The sequence below is a fragment of the Homo sapiens genome, chromosome 15 (assembly GCF_000001405.40).
Source record: "Homo sapiens chromosome 15, GRCh38.p14 Primary Assembly".
In the NCBI taxonomy this organism is placed as follows: domain Eukaryota; kingdom Metazoa; phylum Chordata; class Mammalia; order Primates; family Hominidae; genus Homo; species Homo sapiens.
The window spans coordinates 57,612,083-57,633,773 of record NC_000015.10 but is presented as its reverse complement, the minus strand read 5'-3'; the positions used below and the strand labels follow the sequence as shown (position 1 = coordinate 57,633,773).

Here is a 21,691-nt window from a genome sequence, read left to right as displayed (position 1 = left end):
AAGTGGGCAATAGGCCCAACGCTGTGTCCTACCTTTTCCATGCGCTCAATCAGCCTGTCCAGCTCCCCGATCCTCTGGTCTTTCTCCTCTAGGCTGATCTCTGCTGCTTGCATCTTTTTATTGGCTTCTTCAATCGCTTTCAGAAAACTATTGGTTTCTTCCTGCAAAAGAAATATACCCTCCTAAGTACAGGCATGGAGTACCGAGGCTACTCACCGGGATCCAATCAGCTCAGGCCTTGCTAGATCACGATTTCTCTTTAAAACATGACCTTGGAACCTGAAAGTGTCTCACAGATCATGAACTCAACCTCACGGTTCTGGTTCTCACCTATGAATAAAGATACATCATGTGGCTGGTTAATGGGCCTCACTACATTTTTTTCCCTTTTTTCCCTTAAGTCTTTATATCCAAAAGGTGTAAAAGAGGCCTACAAATGTTTAATAACATTGAGTAGATGCTCAGAATGTCACTGTATTTGCCAGAAGTGTAAGGGAATTAGAACCAGATCTGGAATTGAATGCAGAATTCCCAGATCCTTCTCCCATAATGCAATACATCAGCTCATTACTAACAAGAAAACCCAGTCAATCATCAGAACATGTATTAAGCCTCTACGGACACAGATGAGCCAGACATGGAGTCCCCGCCTTCAGGAACTTATAATCTCCTGGAAAAGCCAAGATGTGAGACGCACAGCCCCACTCTAATGGCAGGTATAAAAGAATTCCAAAGTAAAAGCAGAGAGAGAGTGAGTGAGCTTCCTAAGGACAGATAATGGTTCTGGCTCCATGACTGGAAGAGACTCCAGGCATGGAGAGAGTGGCATTTAAGGCTTTTAGGGAGCTTAGGCAAGATCAAAGATAGGGAAGGAGGAAATTTCAGGTAGAGAGAACCAAATGGAGGGAGGGAGGGCACAGCTGCGGGCAAGCCCAGGGTTTGCTTAGATGCTGGCAAATTGTCAGATGAGCTAGAAAAAGGTGTGTATTTAGAGACAGAGACAAGGGGCTATTCTGAGTAGAGACGGGGATGAATAAAGGCAGAGGGGAAGAGGGGAGGGGAGTGAATGAGCAGATGAATAATTCCTTGATCCCTTACCCATGGCTGAGTCTACTGACCCACCTCTAAGAATAAACACTACTACGTATACATCACCAACAATAATGAACCAACAATTCCCGGTAAGTTTACATCGGCAGCTACAACACACACACCAAAAGAGCCTCCTTCTCAGCACTGTGCTTCCTCTGTTCTTCCTGCAGCTTCTCCTCATACTGGCTGTACAGCTTCTTGGTCATCTCTCGCATCACCTCAGCATTGGCTTCTTGGGACGATTCCACCTACAACGAGACTCATTTCAGAACGACAGCTTTTGCAGGGCCCAGAGGAATTGGCAGCTTCCACTGCACATTTCATGTGGGGACTCACAGAGGTAGTGAGCCCATCCACTGGGTTCTGCAGCAGAGAGACACAGCAAGACCTAACAGGGAAAGGGAGGAAGAGGGGTGAGCAGAGCCACAGAAAAATAAAAGTGGCATTTCACACGAATTTTGGGGGCATTCTCAGGACAAAGGTATGCTCCACATGAGTGACTTTTTCAAAAGGTAGAAACTTATTTCTCTACGCAATCTCATCAGTTGCATTGGCCAAGCCAGTTTCTAGGTAAGACCAGCTAAGCTCAAAGGAGAAATCTGGACTCACCCTTTCCATACCCTTGTGCTTTCCTAAATGTTGCTTTTGGAAACATTCCAACCTAGCATGGGGAACACTAAGCTGGCACCCCTAGTACTGAAGCAGGCCTGGCTTAGGAGGTGAGAAAAAGTCAGTGGAGTTGCAGGTGGGCAGGGCTTAGGTTGGTGGTGGCTGGTGCCTCCTGTTTGCCAGGCCACGTTCTCACACACAGACTTCCCGCCATTGATTTTATGCTGCAGAAGGTTTGCTCTCATCCCCTCCTTCCAGGTTATCGCCTATTGCAGAGAGCTGAGTTTGCTGCATACCTAAACTCTGGAAAAGGGAAGCATTCTTCAAACTCAATAGGTTACATGATGTTATTTCCAAGATGTGACAAGTCTCTCTTGACGCCCTTGACTTCTCCCTTCTCATCACTGGGTAAGTGTTGGCACCAAGAAGTTCCAAAGTGGAAAGTCCTGAGCAGAGCTTATGACCAGCTGAGAGAGACCCTGTGTGCTGTGTGCTCCATTTGCAGTGCACGCACAGCTTGCTGGAAGGGCTCTGTCCCTGGAGGCCCATTCACTCTGCATCCAGGTCATGTAACATACCCTGAGTTCCTGAAGCTTTTTTTTTTTTTCCCAATTTGGGGAGTAAAATAGGAGGAGTAGGAGAAACCTTTTTAACTCCACTGTCAGGATGAAAACAAGCATCAGTCTCTAAAACAGGCAACTGTGGGCTGGAGTTAAAGGCCTGGACTCCAGGGAAGCAGCCAGATTGCCAAGCAGCCTAATGATGTCCCCAGATGCCTGGTGACAGGCCACCTCTGGAACCAACAGGACTGAACAGGACACACACATAGAGTAGACACTCAATAAATATTTGTGGACTGAATGATTGAATAAATCCCCTAAGCTGAAAAAAATTACTTAAATCAGTAATTTCAGGCTTTTTTAGCAACATAAACTTTTTTCACCCCCCAAGTAACTCTTACTGAGAAAGTAACTCTTACACGGAAAAGAAGAGCTGCCCTATTAGAAGTGAACATACAGAGGAGATGATCTGTCCCATGGCTGTGGCAGGCCAAGTGAACTGGCAGCAGATCCCCAGGGCGGCAATACAGAGACCGGGCGGTGGACCGGCAGCCCCTCTTCCCCACCCAGCCTACCCCTGTGAAGGGGCCCACACTTCCCAGTTTGTCTCCCTAACTAAATTACCAATAGTACCACCTTTCACTCCCTCACATATTCTGCTTTGAGCAATAAACTATGTGGATACGCTACTCATAAGATAGCCTAAGTCTGTGCTGAGCAAAATTTTCAAACCACAGACTTACATAAAAAGGAATTCATCCAAGATATAATTTATTAAGTGCCCTCCAGGAGCCATTCATGGATCTGCTCCTGTCACCGGGTAGGAAGTCTATCCACAGTTTAAATTTGGGAGGGGCACTAATGCCTCTAGGGCATTAGAAGTTCAGCTAAGGAATGCTCCCAGCCTAGGGGGCCAAATGGGACATTCCCCAGTGTCCCTAGTCACCCACCAATTTTCTTCTTGAGAATATTGTACTTGGGGTACAGCCCAAGTACCAGCTATTTGTGTGCCCCTCAGCTCTTTATTGTCAAGCCAAACAGAAAGGCCTTGGGACCTCAAAGAAAATCTAAACAGTGAAGGAAGAGATCTCCAAGGCTTCTGACGTCCCAGATCTGTGGGCATCCCAAGCGTCTTCTCAGTTACATAACAACAGCACCATGGTGAGTGTCTAAAGAGCCCTTGAAGGGACTGGAGGCCAAGAAAGGCATGCCCAATGGGGGCATTTATGGAGAAGCCCCAAACTGGGCCAAGCACGGTGGCTCACGCCTGTCATCCCAGCACTTTGGGAGGCCAAGGCAGGCGGATCACCTGAGGTCAGGAGTTCGAGACCAGCCTGGCCAACATGGTGAAACCCCTTCTCTACTAAAAATACAAAAATTACTGGGCAAGGTGGCACGTGCCTGTAATTCCAGCTACTCAGGAGGCTGAGGCACGAGAATTGCTTGAACCCAGGAGGCGGAGGTTGCAGTGAGCCATGATTGTACCACTGCACTCCAGCCTGGGTGACAGAGTGAGACTCTGTCTCAAAAAAAAAAAAAAATCCAATGAAGAAGAGAATGGAGAAAAGGAAATGGAAAGGTTGAAGATGGGAAGAGAAAAGGGAGAAGTAAAGAGGAGAAAAGTTCATAGAAAATAAATCTAGGCTTTTATACTCCACCTTCATTTTTAGCAGCTGGTTTTCAACTTGCGCTACCTCCAACTGCCTCTGCTTTTCCCTCAGCTTGTCCATGGATGCTTCATACGTCTGCTGCAGATTTCTGATTTGATCCTTAATGTTGCTGTTTTCCAAAGTCACATCCACGAGGGTTTTCTGTGAGGATGAAAATAAAAACAAAACCAGATCCGGTGGCGTGAAAACACATGGGCTGCACCACATGCTGGGGCATCCCCTTATCATTAAGCACTGGGGTAGCTGTCCTAGGCTACAGCAACTGCCAGTCTGGGACCCTGTGCTGTGAGGGACTGTGGGTCTCCCATGGTGGCCAAGAGGTCTGCCCCTGTAGCTTGGAGGGACTGAAAACCTCTCCCATACCATCCCATAGCTGCTGCCAACACCACTTGCCACTGCTTAGGATGGATGGAAATGGATTAAAATGGAGTCCTTCCAAGGAAAAGTATTATAATACATCATTTCACATGGGAAAAAAAACAGCTTTTGAAAATAGTAAGTATAGTATAATCCCATTTTGAAAAATATGTATAAGCATTGGTTCAAATATATGTTTATGCACTGGGGGGAAAAAGACCAGGAGGAAATCTGAATGATAGTTTTCACTATGTGATAGGGCTATGGGTATCTATTTTCTTATTTATTTTTTCTGTATTTCCCAAATTGCCACAATGAAATCAGAAAACAAAATACGAGCTTTATAGAATAGAGATATTCCTCTTTTTATTCTTTTTCTTTTTTTTTTTTTTTTTTTGTTTTTGAGACAGAGCCTTACTCTGTCGCCCAGACTGGAGTGCAGTGGCACGATCTCGGCTCACTGCAACCTCTGCCTCCCAGGTTCAAGCGATTCTCCTGCCTCAGCCTCCCGAGTAGCTGGGACTACAGGCGCCTGCCACCACGCCTGGCTAATTTTTGTATTTTTAGTGGAGATGGGGTTTCACCGTATTGGCCAGGCTGGTCTCGAACTCCTGACCTCGTGATCCACCTGACTCGGCCTCCCAAAGTGCTGGGATTACAGGCGTGAGCCACCACGCCCGGCCTCCCTTTTTTCTTAAAAGAGCTATCCCTTCTGCGCTTCTAGACTGCCTGCCAGGATAGTGACAATGTGACTGAGAATACTCACATACCTGCAAACATTTCACCTTCCTCCCTTAGGCAGAGAAGGGTAGTAATAAAGAAGTACTAAGGAACAGAATTTGGTAATGCAGACAAGTGATTTTTGCTCCAAGCCGCACAAGTAATTTTTGCTCCAGGCCGCACTGAAGCAAGGATGTTTAAATCAATAGTGTTGGCCATGCGTGATGGCTCATGACTGTAATCCCAGCACTTTGGGAGGCTGAGGTGGGAGGAGCACCTGAGCCTGGAGTTCAAGACTAGCCTGGGCAACTACAAAAAAAATTTAAAAACCAGCTAGACATGGTTGTGTGTACCTGTAGCCCCAGCTACCCAGGAGGCTGAGGCATGAGGATCACTTGAGCCTAGGAGGTCAAGGCTGCAGTGAACTATATCACACTGCTGCACTCCAGCCTGCGCAACAGAGCAAGACCCCATCTCTAAAAAAATAATAAAAAAGAAAAAGAAAAAAATGGTGGTGCTATTTACTGCTTTGGTTTCTACTTGGTTAACTCTCCTTAGAGATAAATGGCCTCCACAGAATCTGTGCCGTTGGAAAGTCATCTTCTACTGTGTCCCCAGTCATCTACAATTTCACATTAGAAGATGTGAAAACCCTGGTGTTGGGCACTGTTTCTAACACCTCTGTGCTCTTGTCTAGATGATCAGTCTCTGAAGCTTCCTCAATTCCTCAGCCTCTACTTTGGACAATATAAGCCTTTCACTCCTAAACCTACTTGAATCAAGAAAAAGAATTTCTGAAGGAGGTGATTAGATACTAAAGAAAATACTGAAGCTATTTGGAAGCATGGAGTCACAGAACATTTGAGCTTCAAGGGGCTTTAGAAACCACCTAGACCAGCCACCCACTCCCCCAGCCCCACTGGCTTCACAGATTCTACTCGTGTATCCACACAAAAACCTACACTCTGGTCCAAGAGACCAGGATTTTTCTAATCCTGGCTCTGTCACTAGGTAGGCATCTTGCTCATGTCATTTCTCTCTGTCGGCCTCAGTTTGTCTATTCATAAAACTGAGATCCTCTCAGTTCTTTCTAGCTCTGACATTCTATGGAATCAAACCAAGGGTCTGGTCTCCCTGTCAATAATAATGAAAGTGGACAGAGTGGGCCAGTGGAAGAGGCTGGGGTCTTGCATAAGGAAGAAGCCAGCTCTCTTCAGACTCGGTCCACCAGGTACTCGAGTGGTCCTCAGCATCAGTGCCTAACACCGTGCATCAGCCCTCTTCCTCTACCAGGTTGAGTTTCCTGCTGTGAGATGGCTTCTCCTTCTCCTTCTCCTCCTCCTCCTCCTCCCCCTTCCCCTCCCCTCCCCCTCCCCCTCCCCCTCCCTCTCCCTCTCTCTTTGTCTCTCTCTTTCTGTTTCTCTCAGCGGTTTTAGCTATAAGGCTCCTTTGGCTGTCCAGGACTAAGAGCCTGCATGATAACTAGGAATCAGTCAAGGTGCCTGGGTCAGAGCTGGCCCAGCTCAAACAGCTGACCTCTGCAGTAAATGCCAGAGTGTTGGCCAGATGGCAAAGCACAAGAATTGCCAGAAAATACTGGCAAATATATTTTTCTTTCTGGGAAGAAAAACCAGAGATGTAGTACAAATACCGACTAAGTCTGAACTCAGGTGAGATAAAGCCCTTGCTGGTGGGCTGGGAATGAGACAGCGTCCGAAAGGGGAGGAAAGGGAGCCTTGGCAAGCCCCCCCGACCACAGGAGGAAGGGAAAACAAAGGCTGCTGAGCAAACCAGACCCAGTGGGGCTTGGCCTGAGGCCAGGGGAAAGCTGGCATACACTCAAGAGAGCCAGGAAAAGGGTGGGACTCAGAAGCCCCACCAGAAATGGGCATCGCAGATGACCCCAAACACGAGGCCACCCAGACCCACTCCAGGACAGTGGCCGAGCCCTGCTGTTGTCACTGCTGCCATACCAACTGTTATCAGAGAATTAGGGGAAGTGGAGAATCCCAACATGAAAATTTATTTATCTAAAATTACTTATATAGAACCAGAAAGGATTTGAAATAGGTTTTGGAACTTTTGAGAGGAGGATAAAAAGATAAGAGCCAAATAAATTTGGAGGAGAGGTAAAAACTGTTGTTCATACATTTGGAAATGAAGACCAAGGGAAGCTATTTCAAATACATACAATGCTTTGCTTTGAACATTTTCAAATTAATTTGCATGTTAGGGGACTTGTAAGAGTAAGAATGGGAAGCACTTGAAGGGTTAGCTCCTGTAAACCAAATCAACCAAGAAAACAATGCCTCAAAGTGAGATAACAACATGCATTTTCACAAATATAAGATACCGGGTCTTTCTGTTTCCCTGTCTGCTACTACAAGACGTGGAATATCCATGATTCTTTCTGATACAAAATAATTTCTAATTATAAAAAAGTGTTTACAGGCCTTTTTTATATTGCTTGCCATGAAGGAGTACAGATTGTCCTTAGTGAAGTCTGTGTTATTCTGTGATTAGGTGGCACTTCCTGTGGCACTGGGACTGGAGGAAGAGGGCTGACGTGTGGGGTTAGGCACTGATGCTGAGGACCACTCGGGTATCTGGTGAAGCAAGCAACATCTCTCACACTAAACTCGGGGTCTAAATTTCCTTTTCAGAGAGCAAAAACAAAGCCTTAGAGTCTCAGCTTGGAAATGCTTCCTTCAGTTTCCTACACTGTCTTCTGGGCACAGTCTTCACAGTGGTTCTGCTTAAAGAATTCTGAATCATGAGCTAAGGATGTTCTGTGACTTATTTTTCTGCAAAGGCACAGTCCCCACTCTTGATTAAGCTGGGTTGCCCTGTCATAGCAGTAAGCAGATGAGTACCTGCAGGCCAATGGAATCTGATGCCAAGGCTGAGTTCATGGCATTAAAACGATCCAGGGCAGACGACTGGGTTTGGATGTGATTCTCCAGATACTCCTGCTGAGCATGGGAAACCTGGACAGATCGAGGAGACAGTCACACAAAATCAATCCCTACACGTTCACGACAATCTTCAGTTAGGCTGGAACTTTCTTCTGTTAGAAGCCACATCTACTTCAACAATATCTAAAGTAAAGCTTTAAATTAAAAGTCAACATCTGCATGATCCAGAGAGAAGGGCAAGAATCACCTTCCTTTGGATAGTGTTTACTCACAGACCCTCATTTAGCCCTCTCAACAACACTGTGCAGGAGTCAGAATGTTGTCCTTTGTAAGGAAGAAAACAATCAGAGAAGTTATGTGATTTGCTCACTGTCAAACAGCTCAGAAGTGGCGCTCCTAGAACTAGAACCCAGTTGAAATAACTTCTGCAGCCACCTTGTTCTTTGTAGTCACCATGGAGAGAATATGCTTTGGTCTCACTCAATTCTCAAGAGTGTTTTTGTAATCCCAGCACTGTGGGAGGCCGAGGCGGTCGGATCACCTGAGGTCAAGAGTTCGAGACCAGCCTGGCCAACGTGGTGAAACTCCATCTCTACTAAAAATACAAAAATTAGCCAGGCATGGTGACGCACGCTTGTAATCCCAGCTTCGTGGAAGGCTGAGGCAGGCGAATCGCTTGAACCCCGGAGGCTGAGGTTGCAGTGAGCCAAGGTTGCAGTGAGCTGAGATGGCGCCATTGCACTCCAGCCTGGGTGACAACAGCGAAACTCCGTCTCATTTAAAAAAAAAAAAAAAGAGTTGTTTTGTTGCTGCTGTTGTTGCTGCTGTCTTTGTTGGGTGTGTGTGTTTAACATGTCTGAGTCAGAAGCCATTCTTGACCTAGATATTGGTAAGAGGCTAGATACAGTTAGGACTGAGGGTGGAAGGCCCCCCATGTGGCCTCTGGGAGCAGCAGAAAGCAGCCCCGGCACAGCAGAGCAGGAGGTGCACTCTGGGGAGTGGAGACAGAATTGAAGCAGCAAGCCAGGCCCAGGAGCATGTGGCAGCTTTGTGTTCAGCAGTGTGTTTCAATAGCAATAATTTAGCAATCTTAATCTGGCTGCAGTAGGTAGGATGACTTGGAGAAGGAGGAGACCAGTAGGCAGAGAGACAGGGTTTCTGGGACAATTCTAGCATGAGAAAATGAGGGTGTGTAGGAGATGGTGATGGAAAGCGAGGAGCAGAGTCTTGTTTATGCATCTATTGCAAATCCAATTCTTTGGCTTTGATGACAGTCATTGGTGTCTGACAGTCATGGCAGAATGACTTTCCATAAGCAGGTGAGAATTTCACAAATGTCCTCCCACATGCCAGTGGGAATGGGCTGGGTAGATATGTTTATACAGCCCCATTCCTATAATCAAGGAAGGGGCTAGGTAGATAAATTTACATAGCCCCACTCCTATAATCAAGAAATGGGGTAGGGAGATATATTTACGTAGCCCCACTCCTATAATCAAGGTACTAGGTGTTACTTAAGCACTTAATCTCACAGCCCAGCCATAAATTGAACTCTGATGCATGACTGTTGTAACTGCCCTTCTTTCCCACAGATATTAACTCTTATGGAAGGTACGTCACATAGACAGGGACTTTTATCTTTGGGAATATTAATAATAAATTTTTTTAAATGTCTACAAGCATTAGCTTGGCTAAACTAGAAGAAGGTTATTTTTCTTAAATTTTTCAGTAGGTAATACACTCACATGGTGCAAACATTTCAAAAGTATAAAGTTACTTTTATATTTTTATAAAAAATTACCACCCTGCTCAGTTACCACCCTGCCTCCCAATTAGAAACAGTTGTTAGTTACTTTCTGGATTAACCTTTTAGTAACTTTTTGTGCACACACAGAACAATCCTGATATGTTTATCTTCTCTTCCTGTTCTATACAAATGGTAGCAATTTTTTCCTACATATTTTCTTGCATCTTGCTTTTTTTCACCGTCTACATCTTTCTGTATCTCCCCTTCAAGGGATTACTTGCTTTTTCTTTTTTTTTTTTTTAATTTACAACTGCATATATTCTATTGTAGAGATACATCGTTTATCTTACTTTCCCTTATTTTTTTTTTTTGAAACAGGGTCTCACTCTGTCACCCAGACTGGAGTGCAGTGGCACAGTCTTGGCTCACTGCAACCTCCACCTCCCAGGCTCAAGTGATTCTCCTGCCTCAGCCAACGGAGTAGCTAGGATTACAGGCCTGCACCACCATGCCCGGCTAATTTTTGTATTTTTAGTAGAGACAGGGTTTCACCACATTGGCCAGGCTGGTCTCGAACTCCTGACCTCAAATGATCCACCTGCCTCGGCCTCCCAAAATGCTGTGATCATAAGCGTGAGCCACCGTGCCTGTCCACTTTCCTCTACTTGATAGACATTTAGGTTTCCAATTGTTTTACTATTACAAACAATGCTACAATAAATAAATCTATCCTTATGTCTTTCCTCATATGTGAGAGTCTACCTGTAGAATAAATGCTAGGAATAGAATTGCTGGGTCAAAGGATCTAAACATCTGTAATTTTGATCGATAATGCTGAATTGTTCTCTGTAAGAGTAATAGCAAATTGCATTTTCATCAGCAACCCTCTTCTTTGCCCACAGGCCTGTGAACAATGTCCTGACCCACTCTTGCACTTTGGCGGGTCTAATAGATAAAAATTATATCATGGGATGGTTTTAACCCGCATTTATCTTACGATGAGGTGAGGCAGAGCATCCTGTCATACACAAAAGAGCTCTCTCCATCTTTCCTTTAGTATACATTACCTGTTACAAATCTTTCACCTATTTTTATGAGTTGTAGCTTTTTTCTTCTTGATTCGTGGGGGATCTTTCAATATTCAGAAAATGAGCCTATTATGTGTGATACGAAGGACAAATAATTTTTCCCGGTCATTTGACTTTGACATTTTTACCAGCAGGAGTTTCTCATTTCAAAGTTGTCAAAGTTATCAGCCTTTCTTTTCATGGTTTTGGGATTTTATATCATAATAAGAAAAGGCATTCCCTTACCTCAAGGGTATAAATGAATTCACACATATTTTTCTTCTGGCACTTTTGGGTTTTATTTTTCACATTTAAATCTTTGATACTTTAGGAATTTAGCCAGGTATAAGACTTCCAACAGCACATAAGTTTTCCCAATAGCACATATTGACTAGTCCATTTTCCTTCCTTTTTTGAGATGCTACATTTATCATATACAGGGGTACATTTCTGGAGTACTTTTTATTGATGTTTGTCTATTTATGTGCCACTATGATACTGTTTCAATCTCTGAGGCTTTTTCACTTTCTTTTAACATTTAATAAGGCTACTCCCTCTCGTTGCTCTTTTTTCCCATTATTTTCCCAATCTTTTTATTTATTTTCTATATAAACCTTAGAATCACCTACTCCACTTATAAAAAACAAAACCTGTTGGTCTTTTTATTGGGTCATATTAAAATGGTACAGTAATGTGGATCTTATGATGCTGAATCTTCCTTTCTAAGCACATGGTGTTTCTTTCCACTTATTATAGTTGACTCCTAGGTATGTAGTATTTTTCTGTTGATGATATTTTGGGAATTTTTTGTATATTGAAACCTCTTTGTATATTATATATTAATTTTATATCCTCTGTGTGTGTGTGTATAAAATTTTATACCCTGCTACAAATAACAAATTCTTTACTTGTTTGTAGTAGTTTTTCTTTCATCATTTCATGTTCACTTGAGCTTTCCAGGTATACAATCATATAGTTTGTAAACAGTGATAGTTTTACATCTACCTATGCCATGTTTAAACCTATATGTTTATTTCTCTTGTTTGGCCAGTATGTGAAGAACAATGTTAAATAATAATAGTGATAGCTGGCTTCCTTGTTTTGCTCCTGACTTTGGTGAGAATGCTTTGAATATGAATACGATTATTCTTACCATAAAAATTTCCCTTTAGGTAATAAATTTCATTCTGTGATAAAATTTTCTCAGTTTATTTAAAATGTAATTCTATTGATAAAGAACACTAGATACTCTAATATCTTTAGGCACTAGCCACTGAGGGACCACTCTGAGCCTGCCATGCCTCCCTATCTCCAAGCAACTGAGATAATGACTTACTGATAGTTCCTGGGTGAGCTGTCGAATCTTCTGTCTCATCTCATCATAGTCTCCATACATTCGCTTTCTCACCTTTTCCAAAGTGGCTCTCACCTGTAGCCCACAAAGATACTAGTTAGAGATCAAGCCATAACATTTTCATACAAGATTTCTAAAACTTTTAAGAAACTCTAAAGAAAGAAGGACCCCGGCCAGGTGCGGTGGCTCAAGCCTGTAATCCCAGCACTTTGGGAGGCCGAGGCAGGCGGATCACAAGGTCAGGAGATCGAGACCACCCTGGCTGACATGGTGAAACCCCGTCTCTACTAAAAATACAAAAATTAGTTGGGGGGTGTGGTGGTGGGCACCTGTAGTCCCAGCTACTCGGGAGGCTGAGGCAGAAGAATTACGTGAATCCGGCAGGCGGAGCTTGCAGTGAGCCGAGATCATGCCACTGCACTCCAGCCTGGGTGACAGAGCAAGACTCCATCTCAAAAAACAAAAAAAAAAAAAAAAGAAAAAGAAAGAAGGACCCCACATAAAAATAAACTTAAGAACAAGACAGGAAATTAAGGGAGAAGGTCACCCCCAACAACTAGTTAGAAACTAGTTAGGAATTATCCAAATAATTTATATATATATAATTTTATTATGTATATATTTTATATACATAATAAAATATATAGGCATATATTAATATAGAATATATCAAATATATGCTAATATATATTAATTACATAAAATTATATATAATTACATGTAACTATCATAATAAATATTAATTAGCCAAATAAACTCTGAAGAAAAAATGGTTTGTTGAAATTCACCTATCACCCTCAAATGACAGTTGGGCAAAGTTTTGCCCTTTTCCCATCACATGTTTTTACAAGTAGAATGTGTTTTAACAGACTCATGGCTAAGAGGACCAAAGAAACCAAAAAGCAACCTCTAATTTTCCCTCTATCGGCCCTGACTGCCAAAGAGCAATCAAATATCTGGAATGGAAGGAAGTAAAATATGAACCCTGGGGAGCCCATAAATTTGAAAGTCAGTTCCTCAGTAATCACCAATAACACGCAAGGCAGTAAATATAACAAAAGTTCAAGTGATCCCAAAAACACTTGTTTACACAAACGCTGTTCAAGTTTCTCTACAGTACTACTTTCAGAGGGCTAGCAGGACCTTAAAAACTTTCAAAACACAACAAAAGACCTTACAAACAGTCCCTGTCTCCTCCCTTCTTCTGGTATCCCTAGGATGGGGAAAGTACTCAGGAACCCTCAAATAGGGCAGGAAGTCTCAAGGGAGTTTTCTCCAGCACACTCCAGAATTTCTGTTTTAGGAAGGGCCTAAAGATAGCAGTTTGGTTAGAATGTAAGTGTTTAGGACATAGTATTGGAAGGCTTAATTTTGAAGCACATTGTTTTAAAATAGACAGCATGTTTATTAGGGGTTACTGGATATTGGTGGAGATTTGGGGGAAGGGAGAGTCAAGACCCCCAGACTTCCCCACATGAATTCTAAAAATAGAGTCTACTTTCTTGCCATGAAGTACAAACATTTTGGGAAAATGAGGTTAAAGGTACAACTTTTCATTCTAGGCAGGCAGAACGGCTTTCATGTGTGGCCCTGAGCTGGCTCTTGTGCTGCTCCCAGTGGTGAGTGGGTGGAATCTTGAGCTGCATGTCCCTCCCAAAGGCAAATACTGCAATGACCAGGCCAGGGATGGAACTGAAGCCACCTATGGCAGGAGGGACCTGAAAGTTAGTTTTAAGTTGCGGATCACAGTGGAGGGTGGTAATTCCAGGTCTTTGGCACATGTCTTTGGTACATGTCATCCACAGCTCAGGATTAGCCAACATCTCCTCCTGCCTTTGTCTTGGGCAATGTGGGACTCTGGACTCTGTTTAGAAGGTTACTAAGGGAGGAGCCATACCTCCGGAGCATTTAAGTGAGGAAGGTCTATGTATTTCCTTGAGAAAAAAATACAAGAAAATTAAAATGTCTGAGCTATTCTTAACAGGAAATTCAGGAATTGAATATTCTGAATGGTTAAAAATTATGTCTGGAGGCCGGGCACAGTGATTTACACCTGTAATCCCAGAACTTTGGGAAACTGAGGTGGGAGGTTCACTTAAGTCCAGGAGTTTGAGACCAGTCTGGGTCTCTACAAAAAATTATCTGGGTGTAGCGGTGCGCACCTGCAGTCCCAGCTGCTTGGGAAGCTGAGGCAGGAGGATCACTTGAGGGTGGGGAAGTAGAAGCTGCAATAAGCTGTGATTGTGTCGCCACAGTGAGCTGTGATTGTGCCACTGCACTCCAGCCTGGATGACAGAGTGAGACGCTGTCTCGAAAATATACAATAAAATAAATTTTTAAAATTATGTTTGAAAGGTGGGATAACTAGGAGTTTAAGGTTGGTGGCTGTCATATACATTATGTATATGCGTGCTAATTTTGCTGGCTTTTCCTCATATTTTCTGCTAAGCATTTATTATTTTTTAAATTCAACAAGAAATGTTCCTTTTAAAAACTCACACAAAAGCGAAGACATCATGAGTTTGCATCTTATCTGAAAACCCACAAAATAAAATGGGGCTCACAAAGCTGTGTTTTTAACCTTAGGTATCAAAGCCCAGCCAACCCCCACAATCTCAACATGAGGACTGAAGCCTGCACAGAGCAAAAGTGACTTGCTGGGCCAGACACAGAGCTGGAGCTCGAAGCAAGGTCTGTGAGCTCACAGGCCTAGGTTGACTCCCTGCCCCTACACTGCCTCTTACAAGCACTTTCTAAGCCACTGGTCTGTAATGTGAGCCCATCAGTGTCAGAGCAGGCCATCTCCTCTTCCATATAAGCTGGGTGGTTTGGTCAAGAGGGGAATCAGTCAATCTAGGGGAACACAGGATGGAATGAAAAGAAATGGAGAGAGAGAGAAGAAGAAAATACTCCAAAATGTTAACAATTGCTCTGGATGAATAGTGAGATTATGAGTGATTTTATTTTCTTCTTCATACATGTTTATATTTCCCAAATTTTCTCAAAAGAACATGTAACTTAAAAGATAGGAAATAAACTACTAAATACAAGGAAATGGCATTGATTGGCTTGGTTGGACAAAGTCTATTGTGGTTGACTTCCTAGCATTTGTTTCAACCCAACTGATTGATCTGAATCACCCACAGTCTTCCTATTCCTCTTGCCAGGGATGAATGTGGGACTGGTAAGTGCAATAAAGAAAAACCACTCAAGAGCCTCCAAACCCTACACGGAAGGAGGAAGCCATCTGCTCTCCTGAGTATACTTACCTAGTAACATCCATCCAGCAGAAGCTCAACCTTTCCTTCCTTGCAGATTTACATCTGTACTTTAACATTACCATGAAGATACACAGAAACATTTCCAGCCAAAATGATAACACTAAGAATTCTTTCAAAATGCCTTATTACATTCACTTCAATGCTTCCAACTCCATTCTCTTGCATGCTACAAAAAGAATACAGGTGGGGGGCAAAAACTCTTAAATGGCTCACATCTTTGATGTAGTTCATCTCTTCTTTCAGCTGACTGGTGGACCACCCATACACCACCATTTCTTTCTGCTGATTTTGATCTGATCTTCGCACCACACCATAAACAACACCCTGAGGAAGTTTCCTGGTAGGTTCTCCATTGCTCAGGTCAAGAAGCTAAAAGAAAGTAGGAAAAGAAAAAAAGAATAATGACTCTTTAGGCCTCATGCACAGTTGTAATAACGGGCCCACTGTGTATGATTATGCAAATTGTGCCCAGCACTCATTGCCTGGCAGTGGAGATGGAGGGAGCAAAAATCCCATCTAGTCTCTGTTCACCAAGGTGATTTGGCATAGGCTTGGGCTGCTTTTACCCCGGAGGAAGAGCACCGTTTGCTAATGTATATAAGGGCCTGTCCACTCACCTAAGAGTAATTCCCACAAAGATACCAGACGGACTTGCGTTGTCCTAGTAAGAAGAGCAAGCATTTGAAACCTCATGCTCTTAATAATGCTGTCTTTCCCCTTATCCCAGCTTCTCCATATGACTTCAACCTCATCACTAAATACAATGCACAAGGTTGAGGCTGGCAGTCATCTAGCAGCCAAACTGTCCTCTGAGGGTAGGGCTGGTCCTGGGGCCAAGTTCTAAGAAAAGGGGGTAGTGTTAGTACATAACCTGTTGTGACCATTCATGAAATATTTCTGAAAAGCCAGGAAGAGGTGGTGTGACTTCAGCCCAAAAGGATCCTCCCAGTCCTGTTGGCTGGTTCTTAATTCCTTCAGTTAAAGTTTTGGTCATTGTTGAAATGCAAATACCCTTGAGAAACAGTAACATGTCCAAGCCTTAACACGCCTTTATAGAATGAAGGCTTAACAAGCAGGAAAGGGGGAAATTAAGATTTGTTGAAAACCTACTATAGGCTAGAAATATTCCTAATCACATTTAATGTTCACAACCACTCTATGACACAGCAATTGTCCTTTCTGTCCTTTCCACTTCATAGCTGAGAAAACTGAAGTTCAGAGACGTTAGGCAACTTGCTTATGGACACACACCTACATTCAAGCCTGGCTCTGTGATTCTGTCTGACATTAAGCACCTCCCCATACTGCAGGCTATGTTTAGATGCAGGGGGACAGAGTAGGTGCCTCCACAACATGGAAGGGACAGAAGTAAGAAAAAATCCAAGATCAAGGACTGAGACTTCAGACAAACTGACCTTCTCTCAGTTTTCCCTAGGGCTGACCCAGGTACCTCGACAATCCCACAGCACAGAAACCCAAATTCCATAAAGGTAATTCTGCTGTCCTGCTAACTTTTCAACTGCCTTTACACAGAGATTCTTGCCATGTATTCACAAAAAAAAAAAAAAAAAAAAAAAAAGCACTTTTTTTTTTAGATGGAGTCTCACTCTGTCACCCAGGCTGCAGTGTAGTGGCGTGATCGTGGCTCACTGCAACCTCCACCTCCCTGGTTCAAGTGATTCTCCTGCCTCAGTCTTCCAAGTCAGCTGGAATTACAAGTGTATACCACCACATGGGCTCATTTTTGTATTTTGTTTGTTTGTTTTTGAGACAGAGTCTCACTCTCTCGCCAGGTTGGAGAGCAGCGGCGCAATCTTGGCTCACTGCAACCTCCGCCTCCTGGGTTCAACCAATTCTCCTACCTCAGCCTCCTGAGTAGCTGGGACTAGAAGCGCGCCACCACGCCCAACTAATTTTTGTATTTTCAGTAGAGACGGGGTTTCATCATGTTGGCCAGGATGGTCTCGAGCTCTTGACCTTGTGATCCGCCCACCTCGGCCCCCCAAAGTGCTGGGATCACAGGCGTGAGCCACTGCGCCCAGCCAATTTTTGTATTTTTAGTACAGACAAGGTTTCACCATCTGGTCTCAAATTCCTGACCTCAAGTGATCTGCCTGCTTTGGCCTCCCAAAGTGCTGGGATTACAAGCATGAGCCACCTTGCCTGGCCCACAAAGCATTTTTTAACACACAAAACTTTAATTTGCATTTGAAAATCATTCATTGTGGCAGAACAGTAAGTTCTTTATGTACTTTAAGTACTTTATGATCCCATTCATTCAAAGTTTGCAAAATCAAAGAAAGGTCTAGAAAACTATGTGATGATGATTAAACTTACAGGTCTCTAAGGAAGGAACCATGGATGGGGTAGGGGCGCTAGAGATCAGGGTGACTTTTGCCTTGTTCTTTATACCTTTCTATATTGCTTGTTTTTTGTTTTGTTTTGCTTCGTTTCAATGTAATCTTTTTAAAAAGTAAGAAAATACTACAACCATTGCTTCTTGCCCTTCTTCCCACACTTGGGAAGAGATGGGATGCAAGAAGCTGTGATTCCTTGTACTTGTTTCTGGTAAATGCTTCCCCCTGAGTCCCTTACAGCTGGGCCCCAAAGGCACTGATGCTATCCTTACATTTGTGCTTAAGTTTGGGTAACTGAGCTGTTAAATGGCTTGCAGCAGAGTCAAGAGCTGGCATTAACTTATCCCCAATTTACTGGACATATAACCAGGAAGAGGAAAAGCTCTAATGAAACTCCCCAAATACCAGGAAACAAAAGCAAGATCTTTCAGTCACAGACTCCACCCAGTTCCTAAAAAACAAGCCAATGACAACACAAGGCTTTGGTGAAATGCATTTCTGCAAAGCAAAGGCTTTCAGAGGTGGACTGGCTTGCAGGAAAACTCAGGTGGCCGGACACAGAGGATCCTGCCCCTGGCCCAAGCAGGGAGATGAAGCCGCCACGGAGCAGGGAAAACACAAGCAATGCCAGGAACAATGAAGTCTGTGGAACACTCCCGAGTGGCCCAGGTCTCAAAGTTGTACACACAGAAAGAGATCAAGATACACTGAGTGAAAAATCATAAATTTCAAATTTTCATTTTTTGTTTGAAGACTGTGTGTTTGTGTATGTAAAACATCTAGAAGGATGCAATCCAGCTCTCTAACGACAGTTTCCTCAGGAAAATGAGATTTCACTTTTTCCTTTATGTTCTTTTGTAGACTTTGAATGTTTTTTGGCAAAAAGAAAAAAGCATTATGTTTGAATTGAACATTTGTGTAAATGTCAGGGTCTAAATAAAACGCCCCCAGGAAGGGCACGGCCCCAGGACTCTACCCGCTGGGGAGCAGGGCCATCAGCACCAGCCACACCAGGGGAGAGGACTCCTGAGGCAGCCCAAGGAGCTGATGGTCCCTGACAGGAAAAGTGAAGAAGAAAGTTACTGAAGAAAGAGGAGGGGGAAGAAATTTGTTGTCAGGTGATTTTATTACATATAATATATAATAAAATATATATTTTCTTTAATCCTCACAATGACCCTACTGTGTAAATAGTATGACTTCTCTTCTTCCAGGGTAACAGCCTGCAAGTGCCTGCCTATGTCTTTCCAAATTGGAGTTCTTTTTTCACTACAATGCTACAGTCAGGAGAACAACTGGAACTCACGTCTCCATGTAGCATCCCAGGGTCTCCAGCCGTAGGAACCCAAGAGCCTGCTCTCAGGTCCCAGGGCCATTTGGAAGAGGCAGGCCCAGGATGGGGGGCTCTTTCCACTTCCCCTGCCCATCCCCAACCCCACACCTGCCTCACTGCCTCCCTTCTGTTCCTTTAGGAGCCAGCCTCCTTCTTGTTTCAAGGTAGTCACACATGCTGTTCCCTCGATCTGCACTGCTGGGCTGAAATGTCACTTCCTCAAGAATCAAGAACGCCTTTCCTGACCCTTCAGACCCCTGAGGTCTTCTCGGTTCACTCTCACAGCACTTCCCCACGACACTCACCACAGCTGCAGCCCAGCGACTGTTGGTGTATGTCAGTATCCTTGTGTGGGGAAGCCCTGCTTCCCTATCAACTGTAAATTGCAGCAAGTCCAGGGCCTACTTTGTCTTCTTTTCCACCGTAATTCCCAGATCTAACAGTGACTGACGTGCAATGAGTCTCTCAATAAATACTTGCTGAATGAATAGGGAACTTTAGAAGTTGGGAGAGGTCTGGGAATTACTCAGGGTACATAAATATGGTCCAAATGAAGTGAATACCTGTTATTCTTCTTAGATGGAGGAACAGACAGTTAATGTTTACCCCGGTCACAACATGTATACCCAGAAAAGCTGCTAGGAGCATAGATGGCTATCATTTTTATAAAATATCAGTATGCTTTTGGTCAAAAACTGAACACGGGGAAAAAAAGAAAAAAGCTGATATGTTGAGCAAGATGTTTGTGGCTAAATTTCTCTCCTCTTGTATCCTTTAAAATACCTCCCAATAAGAAAAGTATTGATTTTTAGGCAGAAGAGCATTATGATGATATTAAGAAACAGTCTCTTTTAGAGAAACATGCTGAGATACAGATGATGTATATTTATTTCCTTATACAGCGTGGATGTAGATGAGGCAGGATTGGCCATGTATTGAGGTTGCTGGTGCTGGAGAGAGGATCAATGACTCATTACATGATCCAGTCTCATTTTGTATGTTTGAAACTCTCCAAAATTAAGTTTTTTAAAACCTCCTTATGGCCAGGCACGGTGTCTCATGCTTATAATCCCAGCACTTTGGGAGGCCAAGGCAGGCAGATTGCTTGAGTCCAAGCATTTGAGACCAGCCTGGGCAACATGGTAAAAATCCATCTCTGCAAAAAATGCAAAAATTAGCTTGATGTGGTGGTGTGTGCCTGTAGTCCCAGCTTCTTGGGAGGCTAAGGTGGGAAGATTGCTTGAGCCCAGGAGGTTGAGGCTACAGTAAGCTGTGATCATACTACTATACTCCAGCCTGGGCGACAGAGAAAGACCCTATCTCAAGAAAATTAAATTAAATTAAATTTAAATTAAAAATCAAAAGCCTCTTTATAATGCTACTTGGTACTAAAAAAACAAATTTTAAAAAATGTACTCTATTAAAAGCCTCCTGGGCATGAAACAATACTAGACAGAATTTGCTTGAAAATAAAAGGCCTGGCCAGGAATGGTGGCTCATGCCTGTAATCCCAGCACTTTGGGAGGCCGAGGCAGGTGGATCACAAGGTCAGGAGATGGAGACCATCCTGGCTAACACGGTGAAACCCCATCTCTAATAAAAATACAAAAAAATTAGCCAGGCGTGGTGGCAGGCGCCTGTAGTCCCAGCTACTTGGGAGGCTGAGGCAGGAGAATGGTGTGAACCCGGGAGGTGGAGCTTGCAGTGAGCCGAGATCGCACCATTGCACTCCAGCCTGGGCGACAGAGCGAGACTCCGTCTCGGAAAAAAAAAGAAAATAAAAGGCTTAATTAAAGTGTAGAATAAAAAGAAAGTAGGAAAGAAGGAAAATTAACTGAAAGGGCATTCCATACTCCCAACACATACGCAGAATCTCTGGATTAAGCTGTTTCCTGTGAGTACTCACAGCATAAATTCTACCTACAGGCCCCATACTATGGCTGACCTCCCTAAAGATACATCTGGCAGCCAGTGCCTTAGAAAGAAAGAGCAGCTACAGAAAACTAACTCAGCCTAAATTCCTCTCCTAAGGGATTTACTGGCCATTGAAGAGTCTGCGTTAACAAGGCCAATGATATTGTCCAAATCTTAAATGAGAAGATAGGATCCTACAATGCAACAAGCTCCAAAAAGCCAGGGACAACATCTGCCTTATTCACTGCTCTATCTCTGGTACCCAGCATAAATAGATGCTCCATAAATACATTTTGAAGGGAAAAAGAAAGATGGAATATTTGGAGTATACAGTCATCCTTGACACTGAGGATTAATCTGTGCAAAAAAAGAAAATCCCTTGGTCAATCAGCATTCTTAGGGGAAATAAGAGCAGAAATGCAGCTCAACATGCATCAAACTGACAATAGCAGACTAACACAGCCAGTCCCCCGCCCCACCAGCCAGGAGGGGCAGCTGGTCACACATCCTGGCTGCCAATATGGTTGAGAAGGGCCATAATGTGACTCGTGTGACTTCCAGACTGGAAGCCAAGTTATTTCCAAAACTTCTTACTTCAGACCTCTTTTCTCCAGCCAGAGGGCAGCAGCTAACCTGGGACTGCTGAGCACAGAGCCACTGGGTTCCCTGCCCATCTTGCAGGCAGAGGCTGGCACTTCGGGAATGTGCTCTGGCT

The 21,691-nt window shown here is 43.6% G+C and overlaps 2 protein-coding genes across 10 annotated transcripts in view; both read right to left on the bottom strand.

Moving 5' to 3' along the window:
* Positions 1-21,691, bottom strand: part of GCOM1 (GCOM1, MYZAP-POLR2M combined locus) — a 125,654-nt gene that overhangs the window by 83,784 nt on the left and 20,179 nt on the right. For all 8 annotated transcript variants that reach the window (NR_104367.2, NR_104368.2, NR_104369.2 and 5 more), the window contains exons 3-8: positions 15,586-15,741; positions 12,074-12,166; positions 7,882-7,995; positions 3,920-4,072; positions 1,215-1,340; positions 33-161 (exon numbers count right to left, since the gene is read on the bottom strand). Coding sequence is in view for 3 of the 8 variants with exons in the window: in NM_001285900.3 (NP_001272829.1) it covers positions 33-161; positions 1,215-1,340; positions 3,920-4,072; positions 7,882-7,995; positions 12,074-12,166; positions 15,586-15,741 (771 nt within the window). In the remaining 5 variants the exon portion in view is untranslated. The remainder of the gene's footprint in view (positions 1-32; positions 162-1,214; positions 1,341-3,919; positions 4,073-7,881; positions 7,996-12,073; positions 12,167-15,585; positions 15,742-21,691) is intronic.
* MYZAP (myocardial zonula adherens protein) overlaps positions 1-21,691 on the bottom strand; it is a 93,461-nt gene that overhangs the window by 51,591 nt on the left and 20,179 nt on the right. For both annotated transcript variants that reach the window (NM_001018100.5, NM_152451.8), the window contains exons 3-8: positions 15,586-15,741; positions 12,074-12,166; positions 7,882-7,995; positions 3,920-4,072; positions 1,215-1,340; positions 33-161 (exon numbers count right to left, since the gene is read on the bottom strand). In NM_001018100.5, coding sequence (NP_001018110.1) covers positions 33-161; positions 1,215-1,340; positions 3,920-4,072; positions 7,882-7,995; positions 12,074-12,166; positions 15,586-15,741 — 771 coding nt within the window. The remainder of the gene's footprint in view (positions 1-32; positions 162-1,214; positions 1,341-3,919; positions 4,073-7,881; positions 7,996-12,073; positions 12,167-15,585; positions 15,742-21,691) is intronic.